The sequence below is a fragment of the Homo sapiens genome, chromosome 11, assembly GCF_000001405.40.
Source record: "Homo sapiens chromosome 11, GRCh38.p14 Primary Assembly".
In the NCBI taxonomy this organism is placed as follows: domain Eukaryota; kingdom Metazoa; phylum Chordata; class Mammalia; order Primates; family Hominidae; genus Homo; species Homo sapiens.
The window spans coordinates 71,961,591-71,981,977 of record NC_000011.10 but is presented as its reverse complement, the minus strand read 5'-3'; the positions used below and the strand labels follow the sequence as shown (position 1 = coordinate 71,981,977).

The 20,387-nt window shown below is 40.8% G+C and overlaps 1 protein-coding gene across 8 annotated transcripts in view, besides 2 other annotated features; it reads right to left on the bottom strand.

Moving 5' to 3' along the window:
* RNF121 (ring finger protein 121) overlaps positions 1-20,387 on the bottom strand; it is a 68,552-nt gene that overhangs the window by 15,620 nt on the left and 32,545 nt on the right. The window contains exon 3 of one of the 8 annotated variants that reach the window (NR_024148.2): positions 19,689-19,826. The exons of 6 other annotated variants lie outside the window; for them this stretch is intronic. The gene's annotated coding sequence lies outside the window, so the exon portion shown is untranslated. Of the gene's footprint in view, positions 1-3,742; positions 3,888-19,688; positions 19,827-20,387 lie in introns of those variants that run through there. One more of the 8 variants, XM_047427234.1, reaches the window with a different exon arrangement.
* Positions 3,818-3,917: an enhancer, noted in NCBI's record as "active region_5173". NCBI's record gives its function as "activates an Ori minimal core promoter by ATAC-STARR-seq in GM12878 lymphoblastoid cells {active_cell/tissue: GM12878}" and the evidence as "EXISTENCE:reporter gene assay evidence [ECO:0000049][PMID:35858748]".
* Positions 19,123-19,242: an enhancer, noted in NCBI's record as "active region_5172". NCBI's record gives its function as "activates an Ori minimal core promoter by ATAC-STARR-seq in GM12878 lymphoblastoid cells {active_cell/tissue: GM12878}" and the evidence as "EXISTENCE:reporter gene assay evidence [ECO:0000049][PMID:35858748]".

The following is a 20,387-nucleotide window of genomic DNA, read 5'->3' as shown; positions in this document are numbered from 1 at the left end:
CTTTCCAGGCAGAAAGTGCTTTCTAGTGCTCCAAACGCATTTTCTTTTCTAACATTATTATAGTGCTTATCTAGAGTATGCGGCTGGGCTTGAATTCATTCTCTACCTGTATGTAAGCTCCTTGTGGGTAGTGACTGGGCCATATTCCCACTTCCTCTAAACTAGAAAACTGTTGGCATATGATATGTCCTCAATAAATTCCGATAAGTAAGAGGAAAGTAAAACTAGAGTAGGACTCCCTCAGAGAGAGGCACATTTCTGTTTTAAAGAGTGCCTGTTTTACTCTCCCTCCTTCAGAGCCTTCCCTCAGACTTGTTAGCTGAAGTTTTTTAAAGGCATAAAACAATTCTAACTCTAAGACAGAAATTTGAAGTCATCGCTAGTCTTCTCTCCAATGCCTCCTAACTCCCTCCTCAACCACCCTTCTGTCACTAGATGTCATCCTTCTCCAGTGAGTAGCAGGTATAAAAAAAGATAGCAAATAATACATAATGGAGGTTTTCTTCCTGATGCCATCAACAAAATCAAAGAATATTTTTAAAAAAAACAACAACAAAAAGAGAGATATAGAGAGGAAAGAGCGGCTAGTTTCCTGGCATTCTATAGCAAACTAAGAAAGTATTTACTCGGCTGGCCGTGGTGGCTCACACTTGTAATCCCAGCACTTTGGGAGGCTGAGGTGGGTGGATCACAAGGTCAGGAGATTGAGACCATCCTGGCTAACACAGTGAAACCCTGTCTCTACTAAAAATACAAAAAAAATTAGCCGGGTGTGGTGGCAGGCACCTGTAGTCCCAGCTACTCAGGAGGCTGAGGCAGGAGAATGGTGTGAACCCAAGAGGTGGAGCTTGCAGGGAGCCGAGATCACACCACTGCACTCCAGCCTGGGTGACAGAGCAAGACTCCATCTCAAAAAAAAAAAAGAAAGTATTTACTCTTAGGGATTTCTAGACCAGTGCTATCCAAACGAAATATCATGCAAGTCACAAACATAGTTTAAAATCTTCTAGTTACATTTTTAAAAAGGTAAGAAGAAACAGGTTTTCATTTCAATGATATATTTTATTTATTCCAATACATACAAAATATCTCAATATGTATTCAAGATTAAAATTATTTATGAAATGGCTTACTTTTTTTGGTACTAAGGCTTTGAAATCAAATATCTATTTTACATTTACAACAGACTAGCTACATTTCAAGTAGTCAGCAGCCACATGGGACTGATGGCTACCATAATAGGTAGTGCAGCTTAGAGCAGTTTTAGTGTTTAGTTGTCTGTAGCTACCATTCTCTTATAGATTTCTCTGTGGCAAGAAAAAGCCTTAGATGGCCAGGCGTGGTGACTCACACCTGTAATCCCAGCACTTTGGGAGGCCAAGGCAGGTAGATCACCTTAGGTCAGGAGTTTAAGACCAGCCTGGCCAACATGGTGAAACCCCGTCTCTACTAAAAATACAAAAATTAGCCAGGCATGGTGGCGGGCACCCATAATCCCAGCTACTTGGGAGGCTGAGGCAGGAGAATCGCTTGAATCCGGGAGGTGGAGGTTGCGGCAAGCTGAGATCGCGCCATCGCACTCCAGCCTAGGTGACAGAGTGTTAGACTCCATCTTAAAAAAAAAAAAGTGTCATTTTACAGGAAAAAAGAAACAGTGAGAAGAGAACAGAACAGAACAGAGAAAAGGGTAAGCAGAACCACTTTGCTTTAGAGGTTCCCATTCTGTGTACCCGAGGGTACTGGCTGCTGGTCCATGAGCCTTGAAGCCTCAATAACAATTCACTACATAGGAACCCACAACTGACTCTCTGAATGAAGCATTCTAAAACAGTCTGACCTTACATAAAAAGTGTGGAAGCACCAGGATGTACTAACAAATGGCTACCCAAATAATGCCCCAGGTGTCATTTTCTAGGAGACACTAGGAGCACCAGGAAAAGACATCACAACAAACAACTGCAGATTATTTAAATTTGGGGAAAACGCAACCCAACTCATGAAACTAAAAGGGTGGCATATGGAAAGAAGGGCTGGAAGGTTTTGGTCTTCATGCTATTCGCTTTAACAGGCTCATGGGGCTGTTTACAAAACAGTAGGCCCAGAGAATAATTAAATCACATAGTCTGGTCACATTTGTTCTCTCTGAGAAAAAAACAGAAACTCCTGTTCTCCTGCCAGTTTTTCAAAAACTTGGCTGTTGCATTAAAACAACCAGCCTGCGCTAAGATCCTCTTTCCCACTTTCCACCAATCATCAATAGCATGTTCTGAGGAGGAATGTGAATCAAGGTAATTTTCTCTACATGAGCTGCAGCTCTGTACATTCTGGGTGAGGAGAGAAGCAGAGATCCTGGATTCTATTCTGAGTTGGACAAAGACACAATTAGGAGTAAGTCGGGGCATGAGGAATGAAAAATCTTGCTTTGTTTTGTAGTTTTTGGGCTTGAAATTTTAGGATGAAAAAACTACATCTAGAGATATACATCAAGTACGTAAAGCTATATCAAGTCACATCGAGAGAAAGAAAAAGACTGTGTGTGAGAAAAAAAGAGAGAACAAGAGGAGAGAGAGAAAGGGAGAAAAGGGGAGACAGAAGGGAATTTAGAGACAGGATTAGGCTTTCTGAAACCAGATGGTGGAGTAGAAGCCCAGTAAACCGGAGTTCTAGTTCCATTCTGCCTCCAACTCAATAGGTCACCCTAAGGAGGTCCTCCGTCCTTTCTTGGAGGAAGGGATTGGCTTGATTTTTCAAACCACTTCAAGTTCTAACAGGCTAAGTTTCTATCAACTAGCTCTGTATCCCAGACTTCCTAGGAGAGTAGAGGCAGTGTTCACCCACTCACTCATTCAACCATTAAGTATTAATTTTGCATTTAATGGGAAAAGGAGTACAGAAATAAACATGACCTCTAGTCCTCTAGGAGTTACCAGGCTAGCTGCAGGAAAAAGATCTAAATCAAACCCTAATTTCAATGATTCTGTTAGCCTTCAGACCATTTCTAGAAGTCCAAATAGGAATCATTAAAGAATGAACAAAATGAAATGATACACTGAAATGATCAGAAATTTTAGAATTAAAGCTATCTAAATATGAATCCCAATACAGCTAATTACTGCGTTAACTTAGGCAGATCGTTTAACTCTGAAAAGCTTCAGTTCTCTAAACTATGGTAAAATGGGGTTAACAGTATCTATTCTCAGAAGGTTGTATGGGTTAAATGAGTTAAGGCATGGAAAGCACTTACAACAGTGCCTAATAATGTCAGCACTTGTTATAAGCAGTGTAGTAAATACAAGCATTTGATATAATAGTTCTTATATTTAAATGGAAGTAATATGTATAAAACAAGTGTGATGCATAATTCATAATAAGCGCTCAGTAAATGAGAGCTCTTATTATGGCTTTTGCATGATTAAAAATGCATTAAGTCACACATACAAAGGAGCAAAGACCAGAATGAGGCAACCAAAATAACTGACATATGAAAAGTGATAAGGTTATAAGCAATTTCTTATTAATGTTTAATTGTCCTTTCTAGGAAAAATAAATTATCAGAAGACACAAACCAAGGATTTGAGGCCATTTTCAGGTCCCCAGGCCATCTCCATTAGGGAGTGAAAGCCAACTTCTGCTTGGGGCCTAGAAAGCAGCTGCTGGTGGAAGGACCCAGTTCCTGGGGAGGGGCAAGGCAGAGGAGCTGAGTGAACAGAACAGTCTACCATGTGATAAAAGGGGAAGTTACCTGGTTTCTTTATTTGGTTTAAAATTTCTACTGTAGGCCGGGCATGGTGGCTCACTCCTGTAATTCGAGCACATTGGGGGGCTGAGGCAGATGGATCGCTTGAGCCCAGGAGCTTGAGACCAGCCTGGGCAACACGGTGAAACCCCACCTCTTAAAAAAAAAAAATACAAAAAATTTTTTTCAGTTTCTACTTTAGAATTTATTGGCATTTTGCTTGGTAAATATGTTTAAACTTCATTAAGGAAGGCATATAAATGGCTAAAAGTTATGCAGAACAATTGCAGGGCCTCTAGTGCCATCTCGTGGCAACATTTATGGAGACACATTTGGTTCACTAATTTGCACACTTGTGCCTGATGCTGTGGAAAGCATGAAAGCCTTGGCCCTCCAGGACTTGGCTAATGCGATATAAACACATGAATTAGGTGGCCAGTACAAAGCATCAAGTACGGACATGGGAATTCAGTGGAAAGATGAGGCAGGAGCTGTCAGGAAAACTTCCTGGAAGAGGCAGAGCTCTGGATGATTCTAAAGGAGGAATGGGTTTGGCCAGGTAGAAGGAGAAACACAAAAGCCATTCATCCTTCTCTCCCTGAATGTGCAAATACAAAGCTGAAGACTAGCCTGAAACTAACTCATGGATTCGTTCAGCAAACATTTACTGAGGGACAAGAATAGCAATATCCCGCTTATCCCTCCACAAGGCTAAAACAGTTGAGATGACGATGTTAGATGCTAACAGTAAGAGCTAGTCCACATTTAAACGGATTGCCTCTTAACTGAGAGCTGGAACCATCAGTAGAAGGTGTGTTGGTAGAGATGGAATCAACACTACCTGACAATTATTTCTAATAAGACAACCTCCAGATCCCTTTCATCTCAGAGAAACTAGAATTCATGAAAATAGATCATATCTTTCCCTGTGCATCAGGTGCCTTTCCAGTCCACAGGTGCTTGGCACTTTTGACTTTCAGGATTCTCATCTTACCACCTCTGCATCCCCTCATGTTGTAAGCTAGGGATCACCCTCCCACCATACCTGGCTGAAAAGCAATATAGTGGATGAAATGAAACTATAAGCCCAAGTAGTAGAATAAAGGTAGAGATCCACAGCTAATAGAACAATCAGCTTGAAAATAGGCTGAGAAATAGACTGCAGTCAACTGGAGGTAGGTTTCTGGGACATGCTCCATGGCTCTGCTCAATATTTTCATAAATGATTTGGAAGAAAACACAAAGAACCTCCCAACTGTGGACAGCACAAAGCTTGTGGGGAGGGAAAGGGAGGCAGTGAACATGGAAAATAGAAGAAATAAGATCAAAATGAAAAAAGTTTATTTCTAGGGTTCTTTTAGCCCTAACATTCCATGAGCTAATAAGCTGAAATGAAGAATCAAAACCACAAAATGAAACCTAACTACCAAAGTATAGAATGGGGAAGGAATGGCTTAATAGTAGCTCACATGAAACAGGCTTAGGGGTTTCAGTTGACCACAAATTGCCAGGGAATATATGCCAACAGGGCTGCTGCCAACACAGCCAAGACAACCCTGCTTAACTAAGAATATACCCAGAATGGGCCAGGTGCCGTGGCTCACGCCTGTAACCCCAGCACTTTGGGAGGCCGAGGCAGGCAGATCACGAGGTCAAGAGATCGAGACCATACTGGCCAACCAACATGGTAAAACCCCGTCTCTACTAAAAATACAAAAATTAGCTGGGCATAGTGGCGCACACCTGCAGTCCCAGCTACTCGGGAAGCTGAGGCAGGAGAATCGCTTGAACCCGGGAGGCGGAGGTTGCCGTGAGCCGAGATTGTGCCACTGCACTCCAGCCCGGGCGACACAGCGAGACTCCATCTCAAAAAAAAAAAAAAAAAAAAAAAAAAAAGAATATACCCAGAATGGAGGGGGCAGCAGGTCTACTGTTCTCTGCTCTGTTAAAGTATCTCTGGGACCCTAGGATCAGGGCTTGGGGCCACACTATACAAAGAACACTAACAAATAAGCATGGCCATAAGACAGCAGGCCATAAGAGAGCAGCTAGGATTATAATAAAAGGCCTGGAAACCAAATCACATAAGGAACAACTGAAGACACCAGGATATTAAGCCTGGAGAAGACTACAAGAAGGCTTCAGATAAATGATATCTGAAGAGTCATCCAGAGGCCCAATAAACAGACATATTCAGTGTAGTTTCTATGACCTAGTGAGACACTACACATTACTGGACACTCTACAAGGCAGAAACACGGTTGGAGTTGTTTCCCTCCTATCACACCTACACATAGTAATCCTTACCACATAAGTCAGGCCACTCCAATACGAATATATTTGCTAGACAGCTCTTTCCTGATGCTGACCTGAAAAATCTGCCTTTGTGTCACTTCTGTCTCTGGGTCCAACTCTTATCTTTCAGAGGAGCACAAAGTAAACTTACTCCATGTTTCTTATGACTACTCTTCTAATACCTAGAACTATGTCTTCTTTCCCATCTTTTCCACTTCAAGCAAACGAGTCAGTCAAGCAGTCATTTAATAAACATTTACTGAGCACTTACTGGATGCCATGCTAATGACTGGGGAATTCAGAGATGAAAACCAAAATCTCCTGAAGAACACAAGTCTACTGAGGAGAAACAAATAACCACAATTAAGTGCTTTAATGGAGTAAGGGCTGGTGACCAAGAAAATACAGAGGAGAGGCACTCCACTCAAAGTGGAGAACCCACCCCCCTCCAAGGAAGGCTGCCTGAAGGAAGCATCCTTTGATCTCTGTCTTGATGGCCAATAGGTCCAGATAGAAAAAGGCATCATGATGGGTGTTCCAGGATGAGGGGACATGGTATACTTGAGAAAAGACAACTAGTATTTGAGGAAGGTGTGAGAAATGAGCCTAAAGAGGTAGATGAGACTCAAAGGAGGCTGATAAAGATACCACAGCTACAAGTTTTTGTTATATTCTGAAGATAGAAGTTTTTCCTTCTCATAGAAAGTGAATTACAACCCCTTACCACCTTAGTCAGAATTCTCTAATTCCACATTCTAGTAATCCTAATATCTTGGTCTAAGAAAAATCTACAGTACTTTAAAGATTTCCAGGTAGGAGATTTTGCCACTCACCGGTTCCAGGAGGGAAAGCAGTTCAGGAGGTAGAGATGTGAAGAGATACTATATTTGGTAGTAGACACAGATGATGAAAGCTTCTCCCTGGAGAACTTCAAAAATAGGATGGATACTTTTCCAGGCATAAACTTATCCCTTCCCCTAACATCCCTGAAGGAGCTAAAGAGTAATGTTAGACTCTGAATAGATGATGAAAACTGAGCTACGCAGAAGCCAAAAGGCAAGTCTGGTTTGGGCTAGGTTTCCAATCCAGATTTTCTGTCTCTTAAGCTGCCTACCAATCATCATTCACTGAGTTTGTGGGGAAATCTGGAGAGGCTGGGGAGGCAAGATGATGAAGAGACTTAAGAGGAGGTTGAGAAAGTACCTGAGATCCAAGGAAAGGACTTGGGCAAAAGTCGTTAAATAAGGAAACTCAAGAGGATTAAAAACTTCTGACTATGGCAGAAATTGACAAAAATTTCCTGAAGCCTTTGAGAGGAACCTACAGAAAGAACACTTAACCAAGAATCAGATTTTCATTTTAGGTCCAACTCTCCAATTTAATGGTCATGTGTTCCCAGCAAATCACTTCAGGATTCTGTACCTTGGTTTACTAATCTGAAAACTGAAGATAAATACCTACCCTGACTACCTTACAGAGCTGTTAGGAGGTTCCAAGAGAGAATAAATGAGAAGAACTCAAGTCTACTGAGGAGAAAGAACCAACCACAATTCATTATAAGTGTTATAACAGAGTAGGTGGAGTATTTTTTAAATCATCAACAAATCTAAACTATAAGCAATCTAAAGTATTATTATTGCTAGAATTGAAAAGAACAGTATCTAAAATTTAGATACAGTATGACCTTACTCAAAACAACAGGGCTTGGCTGGGCGTGGTGGCTCACGCCTGTAATCCCAGCACTTTGGGAGGCCGAGGAGGGTGGATCACGAGGTCAGGAGATTGAGACCATCTTGGCTAACACGGTGAAACCCCGTCTCTACTAAAAATACAAAAAATTAGCCAGACACGATGGCAGGCACCTGTAGTCCCAGCTACTCAGGAGGCTGAGGCAGGAGAATGGCGTGAACCCGGGAGGCGGAGCTTGCAGTGAGCCGAGATAGCGCCACTGCAGTCTGGCCTGGGTGAAAGAGCAAGACTCCGTCTCAAAAACAAACAAACAAACAAACAAAAAAATACAGGGCTTTTGTTTTTTGTATTTTTCAAAATTTTCTGTTTTAAATTTTATATTTCTTCTTTTAAATTTATTTCTTTGGCCTCTTCCTTGTCAGTAGGGCTTTTGTTTTTTGGGGTTTTTTTGGTTTGTTTTTTTGTTTTTTGAGACAGAGTTTCACTCTTGTCACCCAGGCTAGAGTGCAGTGGCAGGATCTTGACTCACTGCAACCTCCACTGCCCGGGTTCAGGCAATACTCCTGCCTCAGCCTCCACAGTAGCTGGGATTACAGGCACCTGCCACCACATCCGGCTAATTTTTGTATTATTAGTAGAGACGGGGTTTTACCATGTTGGTCAGGCTGGTCTTGAACTCCCAACCTCAGGTGATCTGCCCGCCTCGGCCTCCCAAAGTGCTGGGATTACAGGCATGAGCCACCGCGCCCGGCCTGTTTTTTGTTTTTGAGACAGGGTCTCACTCTGTTGCCCAGGCTGGAGTGCAGTGGCACAATCACAGCCCACTGCAGCCTCAACCTCCCAGGCTCAAGTGATCCTCCCATCTCAACCTCCTAAGTAGCTGGGACTACAGGCCTATGCTACTACAACCAGCTAATTTTTTCTTTTTTAAGAGATTGGGTCTTACTACGTTGCCCAGGCTGGTCTCAAACTCCTGGGCTCAAGCTATCCTTCCACTCCAGTCTCCCAAAATGCTGGAATTACAGGCATGAGCCACTATGCCCAGCCTACATTTCCCTCTTTTTTTTTTTTGAGATGGAGTTTCACTCTTGTTGCCTAGGCTGGAGTGCAAAGGCACAGTCTCGGCTCACCACAACCTCCGCCTCTTGGATTCAAGCGATTCTCCTGCCTCAGCCTTCCGAGTAGCTGGGATTACAGGCATGCACCACCATGTCCGGCTAACAGTGTATTTTTAGTAGAGACAAGGTTTCTCCATGTTGGTCAGGATGGTCTCCAACTCCTGACCTCACGTGATCCGCCTGCCTCGGCCTCCCAAAGTGCTGGGATTATAGGCATGAGCCACCGCACCCAGCCGCCCAGCCTATGTTTCTCTTAATGTGAAGGTTGGGCTTGAGCTCCTAAGTTATGGACAGTAATGTGATACTTCTCAGTGGGCTGGCATACTGCTCATCATCAGTCTCATAGCTTGCAATATCCATGTTGCTCTAGGTCCTAGAGCCTAGGACAGTGTTTCTCATCAGGGATGATTTTGTTTCCCAGGGGACATTTGGCAGTCTGGAGACATCTGGTTGTTACAAGTGCAGAAGGGTGCCAGTATCATCTAGTGGACAGAGGGTAGGGATGCTATTAAACATCCTATAATATACAGGACAGCCCCCGAGAAAAAAAGAATTATATGGCCCAAAATGCCAACAGTTCCTCTGTTGAGAAACCTTGGTCTAGGAGAACAGAGCTAGTGTTTTTCCACTCAGTGGTCATTGGATGCCCACTAAAAGGCTGCGCCACCAACCTGCACTAGTGAAGGACAAAAAGTTTCATTCAGTTTGAAAGAAACAGAGCCTTATCAAATAATTCCATCATTTCTTGGAATGCCATAAGAGGCATTTTTTTAAAAGCTCTAATGGCTAATCTCAAACAGTTCATGTTTCTACTACTCAACAACAATCCCAGTGCCTTTCCTTTACACAACATTCTCCGGGGAGTCTTCCTGATTCTCTTTTATTACTATTCCTCACCCCAGACATTCTAATGTGCTTCACATGTATATTTTTGTTTGTACCTGTTCATGCAAACTGTTTATTGCTTTCTCTGCTTGTATTTTTATTAATTGGCATTGTGTTACACATCTTTCTGTTTCTTAGTTTTTCCACTCAGTACTATGCTTTTAAGGTCCTCCCAAGTTCCTACAGGTACTTAATGTATTGCTTTTAACTGTAAAACAATTTCATGATATGCATCCGTCACATTTTACCTATTTACTCCCTCAGAGATAGATATCCAGATTGCCTCCAACTCCTCAATGTTCAGCCATAATTAACACTTCAGTGAACACCCTCTTACATATCCCCTTAGGATGTGTCACAGGGTATGTGTATATTCGCTGACTCAGCAATGCCATGCTGCTATCCACAATGCCTGTACCATACCCACAAAAAAGTACAAGAAAGCTCCTACAGCCTTTGATCCTTGCCAACACTTGGCACTATTCAGCTTTCTAGCTTTTGCCAACCTAATAGATGTAAAGTGATATCTCATATTTTTATGTGCATTTCTCTAATTACTAATGACTCTGAGCATCTCTTTTCATGCTTAATGGCCTTTTGGGTTTCCTTTCCTGTAAATGTGTTCATATCTCTGGCCTGTTTTTCTATTGGAGTTGCTGTCTTTTGTTGATTTGTAGGAGTTTCTCTGGATAAATATTAATCTACTGTCAGTTTTAATCATTACTCATCTATTCTCCATTCAGTTTCAGTTAACTCTGCCTATCATATCTTTAACAGAACAGAAATCCTTAATTTATAAAATCAAATTTATCGAATCTTTCTTACTTGCTTATATTTTTATTTTTAAAAAAGTTCATTTACTTATTTATTTTGAGACAGGGTTTCATCTGTTACCCACAATGTAGTCAAGTGCCATGATCTCAGCTCACTGCAACCTCAAACTCTTGGGCTCAAGTGATCCTTCCACCTCAGCCTCCTGAGTAGCTGGGACTACAGGCATGCACCATCACACCTGGCTAATTTTTTTATTTTTTGTAGAGATAGGGTTTGACCATGTTGCCCAAGCTGGTCTTGAACCTCTAGGCTCAAGTGATCTGCCCCCCTCAGCCTCCCAAAGTGCCGGGATTACAGGCATGAGTCACCACACCCAGCCTGCTTATATTTTAAAAATTAGTTTCATAACTTTACCTTTCATAATTAGGTCTTTATCTTGAGTCCCCTTTGTATTCAGTATTATGTACAAATCTAGTTTTAATTTTTCTCCTTGTGGTGAGTCAGTTTTCTCAACTAATCTACTTAACAATGAATACCTTCTTATTGATTGGTGGTTACACCTTTATTATATATTAAATTCCCATCCATCTCTGAGATCTGCATTTTGTCCCACTGATCTGTTTGTCTATTCTTATAGTGTGTCTTAAGGCAAGGTAAGTCCCTGTCTTGGTAGTTGCTTTCTTTCTTGCTTTATTTTTGAACTTTAGGTAGAGAAAAAAATAAATTATTCAAATTCTTTGGTTAATGAACATTCTCATCATTAGTCCATGCATGGACCACCTTTAATTTTTTAAAGTTATTATTATTTTGTCTTTTTTTAAATGACAGTCTCACTCTGTCACCCAGGCTGGAGTGCAGTGACGTGATCATAGTTTACTGAAGCGTTAAACTCCTGGGCCCAAGCAATCTTCCCGCCTCAGCCTCCCAAGTAGCTGGCATTACAAGTGCACACCACCACAGTCAGCTAATTTTTAAAATTTTTAGTAGAAATGGGGTCTCCCTGCATTGCCCAAGCTTGTCTGGAACTCCTGGAATCAAGTGATCCTTCCACCTTAGTCTTCCAAAGTGCTGGGATTAGAGGTGTAAGCCACTGTGTCAACCAAAACTACTTTTGTGGTTTCAAAACCCAAAAAATTTTCCATTTTATTCATCTTTGAGTATACAGTTCAATACTGTTATGTATTACTATCTGTTACTATTTTGTAACAGATCTCCAGAACTTTTTTGTCTTGTAAAATGGAAGCTCTATAGGCCCTAATTCCCCCTACTCCCTAGCCATCATTCTACTTTCTGTTTCTATGAATTTGACTACTTTAGATATCTCATATAAGTGGAATCATATTGGTCTCTTTGTGACTGGCTTATTTCACTTAACATGTCTTCAAGGTTCATCCATCCTGTACCACATGACATAATTTCTTTACTTTTTACATTAATTATTTAATAACATGATAAATACTGAACCCACAAATGAACCTAAGATGTGAAACATCTAAAATTACTTATATCTAGCTATGTGCTCGTCTCTATCCTATCCTGCAGTCTCTCTTCCATACAAGGTTACCATTATCTGGAATCTTGATTCTATTCCCTTGCTTTTTAAAATGTGGTTTTGGCTTGGCACGGTGGCTCATGCCTGTAATCCCAATACTTTGAGAGGCCAAGGTGGGAGGACTGCTTGAGCCCAGTAGTTTGAGACCAGTCTCATCAACACAGGAAGACCCTCATCTCTAGAAAAAAAATTTTTAAATTAGCCAGGCAAGGGTGGTGCACACCTGTGGTCCCATTTACCTGGGAGGCTGAGGTGGGAGGATCAACAGAGCCCAGGAGGTTGAGGCTGCAGTGAGCTGTGATCATGCCACCACACTCCAGACTGGGTGACAGAGAAAGACCCTGTCTCAAAATAAAGTAAAATATGGTTTTATCACACATATACGTAATTTTAAAACATACCGTTTATGCCTAACACAAACTTAGCCAAAAAAAAGAAAACATACCACTTAAGTTTCCATTATTTTTACCTTTCTATAAAAAGTGTCAACTTATAAGTGGTCTTCTAGGACTCTTCTTTTGCACTCAATATTATACTGCTAAGCTTCATCCTTACCATTATTTGTAGCTATAGTTATTTTATATTTTGTCTTTTTATAAGTATGTCATATGCATTATTTTATATGTTATATTCCATTATGTGAATATATCACAACTAACTCACCCATTCACCTTTACGTGAGTATTGTCATTTCCAAGTTTTTGCTACTACAAATAGTGTTGCTATGAAAAATCCTAAGAGGGGCCAGGCACGGTGGCTCACGTCTGTAATCCCAGCACTTTGGGAGGCCGAGGCAGGTGGATCACCTGAGGTCAGGAGTTCGAGACCAGCCTGACCAACATGGTGAAACTCTGTCTCTACTAAAAAATACAAAAATTAGCCGGGCATGGTGGCAGACACCCATAATCCCAGCTACTTGGGAGGCTGAGGCAGGAGAATCACTTGAACCCAAGAGGCGGAGGTTGCAGTGAGCCGAGATCGCGCCACTGCATTCCAGCCTGGGCAACACAGCAAGAGCCTGACTCAAAAAAAAAAAAAAAGAAAGAAAGAAAAAAGAAAAATCCTAGGAGGATGTACCAAAATCTTCTCTTGGCATATATCTAGGAATTAAACTCCCAGATCATAGGGAGTTTAATTTAAAAACAGTTTGAAACTGTTTTTCAAAGTTGTTTCTCCACAAAGGAAACAATATAACTGAGCACAGCCCCAGCGTGGGACTAGAAAGGATCAACGAATATCTACTGACTGAACAAATAAATAGACAGTACTCAATAAATGCTAGCTAGTGTTATTAATTATGTCTACGTAATTACATAGGTGGTAATGTCCCAACTATATTTATGCTCTGCTTCTCCTCTCTAGAACTGACCTTTAACCTACAGCAGATTTGAGAATGAGAGGTCCACAAGAATTGTAAAATTGGTAGCTATGGCTATTACCTAAAATATGCCTAGGCAGGCAGAAGAACTTTATAAGAACCAGGATAGAAAATCAGGAACAGCAAGATGGGCCATCCAAACAGAATAGCAAACAATAGAGTACTTAGCCAACAAGATCGTTCATAAATTGGGCTGGGGGCAGTGGCTCACACCTGTCATCCCAGCACTTTGCGAGGCCGAGGCAGTTTGATCACTTGAAGTCCAGAGTTCGAGATCAGCCTGGCCAACATGGTGAAACCCCTTCTCTACTAAAATACAAAGAGTTAGCTAGGCATGGTGGCAGGAGCCTGTAATCCCAGCTACTTGGGAGGCTGAGGCAGGAGAATCGCTTGAACCGGGGGCAGAGGTTGCAGTGAGCCGAGAGCATGCCACTGCACTCCAAACTGGGCGACAGAGCAGGACTTCATCTTAAAAAAAAAAAGATCGTTCATAAATCTAATCTATAAAAATTTTTCTACCAATTCTACAAATAAAATCAAATGACAAACTGGGGAAAGATATCCGTAGCAAATTATGTCAGAAGGCTTATTCCTGACCTACAAAGAGCTCTTACAAATCAGTAAGAAACATTCCAAAAGAAACCTGAGCAAAGGAAAGAAAATGTACCAAATATATCATATGGCTCAAGCTGTGAATAATACATCTTGTGAATAATACTTACATATAATACTTAATAATGTAAACAATGAATATTTATTTAAAAATTGGGAGGAGGAAATGTTTGTAGTATGTAACGGGTATAGGTATAGCAGTAAAAGATAATTATTACCGCCAGGCACAGTGGCTCATGTCTGTAATCCCAACACTTTGGGAGGCCAAGGTGGGCAGATCACGAGGTCAGGAGATCGAGACTATCCTGGCCAACATGGTGAAACCACGTACTAAAAATACAAAAATACATTTGTACTAAATACAAAATACTAAATACTATTGTATTTTGTACTAAAATACATTTGTACTAAAAATACAAAAATTAGCTGGGTGTGGTGGCATGAACCTGTAGTCCCAGCTACTTGGGAGGCTGAGGCAGAAGAATCGCTTGAACCCAGAAGGCAGAGATTGCAGTGAGCCGAGACCATGCCATTGCACTCCAGCCTGGGTGACAGAGTGAGACTCCGTCTCAAAAAAAAAAAAAAAAAACAAAAAAAACCCACATAATTATTACCTTCCAAAGTAGGAAGTCAATATATAATATTTAAAAGTAGAAATTTATACATCAGTATAAACATGTTATTTAAAAAACATAAATATTATATTTAAATATAATAAAGTAGAAATTTATATCAGTATAAACATGTTATTTAAAAAACACAAATATTGGCCGGGCGCGGTGGCTCACGCCTGTAATCCCAGCACTTTGGGAGGCCGAGGCGGGTGGATCATGAGGTCAGGAGATCGAGACCATCCTGGCTAACAAGGTGAAACCCCGTCTCTACTAAAAATACAAAAAATTAGCCGGGCGCGGTGGCGGGTGCCTGTAGTCCCAGCTACTCGGGAGGCTGAGGCAGGAGAATGGCGTGAACCCGGGAAGCGGAGCTTGCAGTGAGCCGAGATTGCGCCTCTGCAGTCCGCAGTCCGGCCTGGGTGACAGAGTGAGATTCCGTCTCAAAAAAAAAAAACAAAAAACCCACAAATATTATATTTAAATATAATAAAGTAGAAATTTATACATCAGTATAAACATGTTATTTAAAAAACGCAAGGCCAATTGTGGTGGCTCATGCTATAATCCCAACACTTTGGGAAGCTAAGGCAAGAGGATCACTTAAGGCCAGGAATTCAAGACCAGCCTGGGCAATATAGTGAGAGCCAACTCTACAAAAAATTAAAATATATATATATTAGCCAAGCGTGGTGGTGTGTACCTGTAGTCCTAGCTACTTGGGAGGCTGAGGCAGGAGGATTGCCTGGGCCCAGGTGTTTGAGGCTGCAGTGAGCTATGATGGAGCTGCTGCCCTCCAGCCTGGGTGACAGACTGAGATCCTGTATCTTAAAAAAAAAAAGTATCAGAAATGAACTAAAAAAGTTATTAATAAAAGTAGTTGCCACAGAAGAATCAGCGACTGACAGAGTTGGGCAGGGGACCAATGTGTTTTGCTTCTGAAGTCTTGTAGAACTATCTGACTTTTAAAACTATGGTATGTATTACTTCGATAAAAATGGAAATATCAGGCCAGGCACGGCGGCTCACACTTGTAATCCCAGCATTTTGGGAGGCCAAGGTGAGCGGATCACCTGAGGTCAGGCATTCGAGACCAGCCTGACCAACGTGGAGAAACCCTGTCTCTACTAAAAATACAAAATTAGCTGGGCATGGTGGCGCACGCCTGTAATCCCAGCTACTCGGGATGCTGAGGCAGGAGAATCACTTGAACCTGGGAGGCAGAGGTTGTGGTGAGCTGAGATTGTGCCATTGCACTCCAGCCTGGGCAACAAGAGGGAAACTCTGTCTCAAAAAAAATGTATCAAATATAAATCTAGTCAATGATATGAACAAATAATTGAAAGAAGCCAAATGACCACTAAGCATGAAAACATGCTCAACTTCACTAATAATCAGAGAAATACTTAATAAAATCAGGTATTTTCACCTTATCACACTGACAAAGATTAAAAATACTGACTATACCCTACACCTTCTTTAACACTGGGTAACAGCTCTGTTAAATCTGTGTTGATGGATTGTAAACTATAATAGCTATAACTTTCTTGGAGGGCAATTTGGCAAGTTCCACTAATAATTAAAACACATATATTTTTTGACCAGGCAATTTCATTTCTAGGAGTGCATTCTATAAAACTGCTTGCACAGGTATGCAGGTAATTTATGTATGAGAAGCTTACTAAATTGTTGCTTGCAACTGTGATAAACTGTTAATTAACAAGTCAATCGATAAAGGTAAATTAAATTTTATTTGAGATCTATTTTCCAAAATACTATGCAGGCCAGGCGTGGTGGCTCACTCCTATAATCCCAGCACTTTGGGAGGCCGAGGTGGATGGATCACTTCAGCCCAGGAGTTCCTGACCAGCCTGGACAACATAAAACCATCTCTATAAAAAATACAAAAATGAGCTGGGCATGGTGGCTCACACCTGTAGTTCCAACTACTCAAAAGGCTGAAGTGGGAGGATCCCTTGAGCCCAGGAGGCAGAGGTTGCAGTGAGCCAAGATCACACCACTGCACTCCAACCTGGGCAACAGAGACCCTGTCTTAAAAAAAAAAAAAAAAAATTACTATGCAGTCATTAGTTTAAGAGGATGATATACCCACCAATATGGATAGATATTTGAGAGATAGTATTAGGTGAAAAATGCCGCAGAACCTAATGGATGTCATAAACATCTAAAAATTTATAAACACACACTTGCAGATTTTTCCTATCTATAACAAATTGATTAACAGTGGTTCCCTCTGGGACACTTTTGATTTCTATGTCACATACTGTTACATTGTTCAAATTTTTTTATAACAAATAAACATAACTTTTGCAGAATGAAAACCTCATCCTGTCTCTAGGCAGGTCTGCTTCATCCTCTAAGAACAAGACAGGCCTTTACCTCTTGTGGGTAATTCAATTTGATACAGATTTCAGAGCTAACTGGGAGGACTTCAAGAAGTCCAGTCAACCATCCCATAAAAAATCACAAACATCCCCTCCACAACATTCCTGACAGGTTGCTAACTTGTACTAAAACACAGCTTATAATACCAGGCACGGTGGCTCACGCCTGTAATCCCAACACTTTGGGAGGCTGAGGCAGGCGGATTGCTTGAGTTCAGGAGGGCGAGACCAGCCTAGGCAACCTGGCAAAACCCTCTCTCCACCAAAAATACAAAAAATTAGCCTGGTGCTGTGGTGTGCGCGTGTAGTCCCAGCTACTTGGAAGTCTGAGGTGGGAGGATCACCTGAGCCTGCAGAAGTAGAGGCTGCAGTGAGCCGAAATCGCCATACTGCACCACTGCATTCCAGTATGGGCAATCAGAATAAGACCTTGTCTCAGGAAAAAAAAAGGTATCCAATTGGAAAAGAAGAAGTGAAACTCTACTCTCAGATGACCAATCTTATATATAAAAAATCCTAAAAAAAACTTTAAAAACTATTAGAGCTAATAAATTCAGCAAAGTTGGAAGACTAACACAAAACGATCAGTTGAAATTCTATATATTAGCAATGAATAATTCAAAAAGGAAATTTTTAAAAATTCCATTAACAATGGCATCAAAAAGAATAACATACTTAGGAATAAGTTTAACAAAGGAGGTGCAAGACTTGTACATTGAAAACTACAAAACATTGATGAAAGAGATTAAAGACCCAAATAAATGAAAAGATATCCTGTGTTCAGGTACTGGAAGATTAATATTGTTAAGATGGAAACATTTCCCCAAACAATCTAGAGAATCAAACCAATCTTTATCAAAATTCCAACTGATTTTGTTTGTAAAATGGAAACGTTGATATTAAAATTAATAAGGAATTGCAAAGGACTCAGAATAGCTGAAACAATCTTGAAAAATAATAACAAAGTTGAGGAACATACTTTCCAATTTCAGAACTTACTACAGTGCTACAGTAATCATAACAATGTGGTACCTGCAAAAGAACAGACATATAGATCAACGGAATAAAACTGAGAGTACAAAAATAAGCCAACATATCTTTGATCAATTGATTTCTGACAAGGTCGTGACATGCCACGACCATCCAATGGAGAAAGAAGTCTCTTCAATAAATGATGCTGGGACAACTGGCTATCCACATGCAAAAGAATGAACTTAGATTCTTATCTCACACCATTTACAAAAACTCAAAATGGACCAAAACTCCAAATGTAAGAGCTAAGACTATAAAACTCTTTTTTTTTTGGGAAGGAGTCTTGCTCTGTTATCAGGCTGGGGTGCAGTGGTGCGATCTTGGCTCATTGCAACCTCCAACTCCCTGATTCAAGCGATTCTCCTGCCTCAGCCTTCCGAGTAGCTGGGATTACAGGCACGTGCCACCACGCCCAGCTATTTTTGTATTTTTATTAGAGACGGGGTTTCACCATGTTGGCCAGGCTGGTCTCAAACTCCTGACCTTGTGATCCGCCCACCTCAGCCTCCCAAAGTGCTGGAATTACAGGCTTGAGCCACCCCACCGGGCCAAGACTATGAAACTCTTCAAAGAAAACATAAGAGTAATCTCTATGACCTTGGACTTGGCAATGGATTCTTAGATATGACACTAAAAGCACAACCAATAAAATTAAAAAATAGATATACTGAACTTCATCAAAATTAAAAACTGTTTATGCATCAAAGGACACTATCAATAAAGTGTCAAGACAACCGATAAAATGTGAGGAAATATTTTAAAATCATATATCTGATAATGGTCTATTATCCAGATTATATAAAGTACTCTAACAACTCAACAAAAAGACAAAAAATTCAACCAAAAATTGGGCAAAGACTTAAACAAACATTTCTCTAAGGAAAATATACAAATGACCCATAAGCACAGGAAAAGATGCCCAACATCATTAGTCATTAGGGAAATACAAATCAACACCACAATGACATCTACATCCACTAAAGTAGCTATAATAAATAAAATTTAAAAAAAAACGGAGTGAAAGAAGTAAGAAGTCTTGATAAGAATGTGGAGGAATGAAAACCCAACCCACGTTAGGACAGAATGGAAAATTGTGCAGCTTCTGTGGAAAACAATTTCTCAGTTCCTCAAAACATTAAACACAGAGTTACCACATGACTCAGCAATTCCACTCCTAGGTAGATTTCTTTTCTTATTTTCTAAAGATATGAGTTTAAGTTTCTCAGTGTAAGATGTGCTATCATGTTAGCATATCCTCTCACCAATAAAATTCAGCATTATGTTTACAGGATGTGGTAGTAACAAGTAAACTGCACATTCCTAGTACAACTGGCCTCATTAAGTCACAGACACATCTCCTGTTAAGAATTAACTAATGAATAACACATCAGTGGTTTTCTAACAGTGCTATGATGAGTCCTAGAGATTTCAGAGGGGGAAGCAGAGGTGTTAGGGTTACCCAACCTTCATATCAAGCAGAGCAGCCTCTTAACTGTTTCCCAGATTGAGTTTTTCCTTAAGATAATGTTTAAAGAAAGGATTCCACACTTAAGGAAAAAGTTCTTATTGAAAATTACTGCAGTGCATATATGCATACTCACTTTCTTCAGAATAGGTTGTAAAAATCTGCCGGGCGCGGTGGCTCACGCCTGTAATCCCAGCACTTTGGGAGGCCGAGGCGGATCACAAGGTCAGGAGATCGAGACCATCCTGGCTAACACAGTGAAACCCCGTCTCTACTAAAAATACAAAAAAATTAGTCAGGCGTGATGGTGGGCACCTGTAGTCCCAGCTATGCGGGAAGCCGAGGCAGGAGAATGGCGTGAACCCGGGAGGCGGAGCTTGCAGTGAGCAGAGATTGCACCACTGCACTCCCGCCTGGGCGACACAGCGAGACTCTGTCTCAAAAAAAAAAAAAAAAAAATCTTTGCAGATTAGCCAAAATTATATAATTAAAAATATTTCTACATATAAGCACAGAAATGCCAAGGGGGCTTTCACTCATTTATGAGTTTACTGAATCCCCTGGCTCAAGCAATTCTCCCACCTCAGCCTCCTCAATAGGTGGGATTACAAGTGTGTGCCACCACTCCTGGCTTGTGTCTTTCCACCTAAAGTGAATTTACTATAGACAGCATATCGATAAATGAGGGGATTTTTAAAACCAATCTGCCAATTTCTGTCTTCTAATGGAAGAATTTAATCCATTTATATTTAAAGTGATTACTGGTAAGGAAGAATTAACTTCTGCCATTTTGCTATTTGTTTTCTGTGTGTCATTTTCCCCACCTAATTTCAAC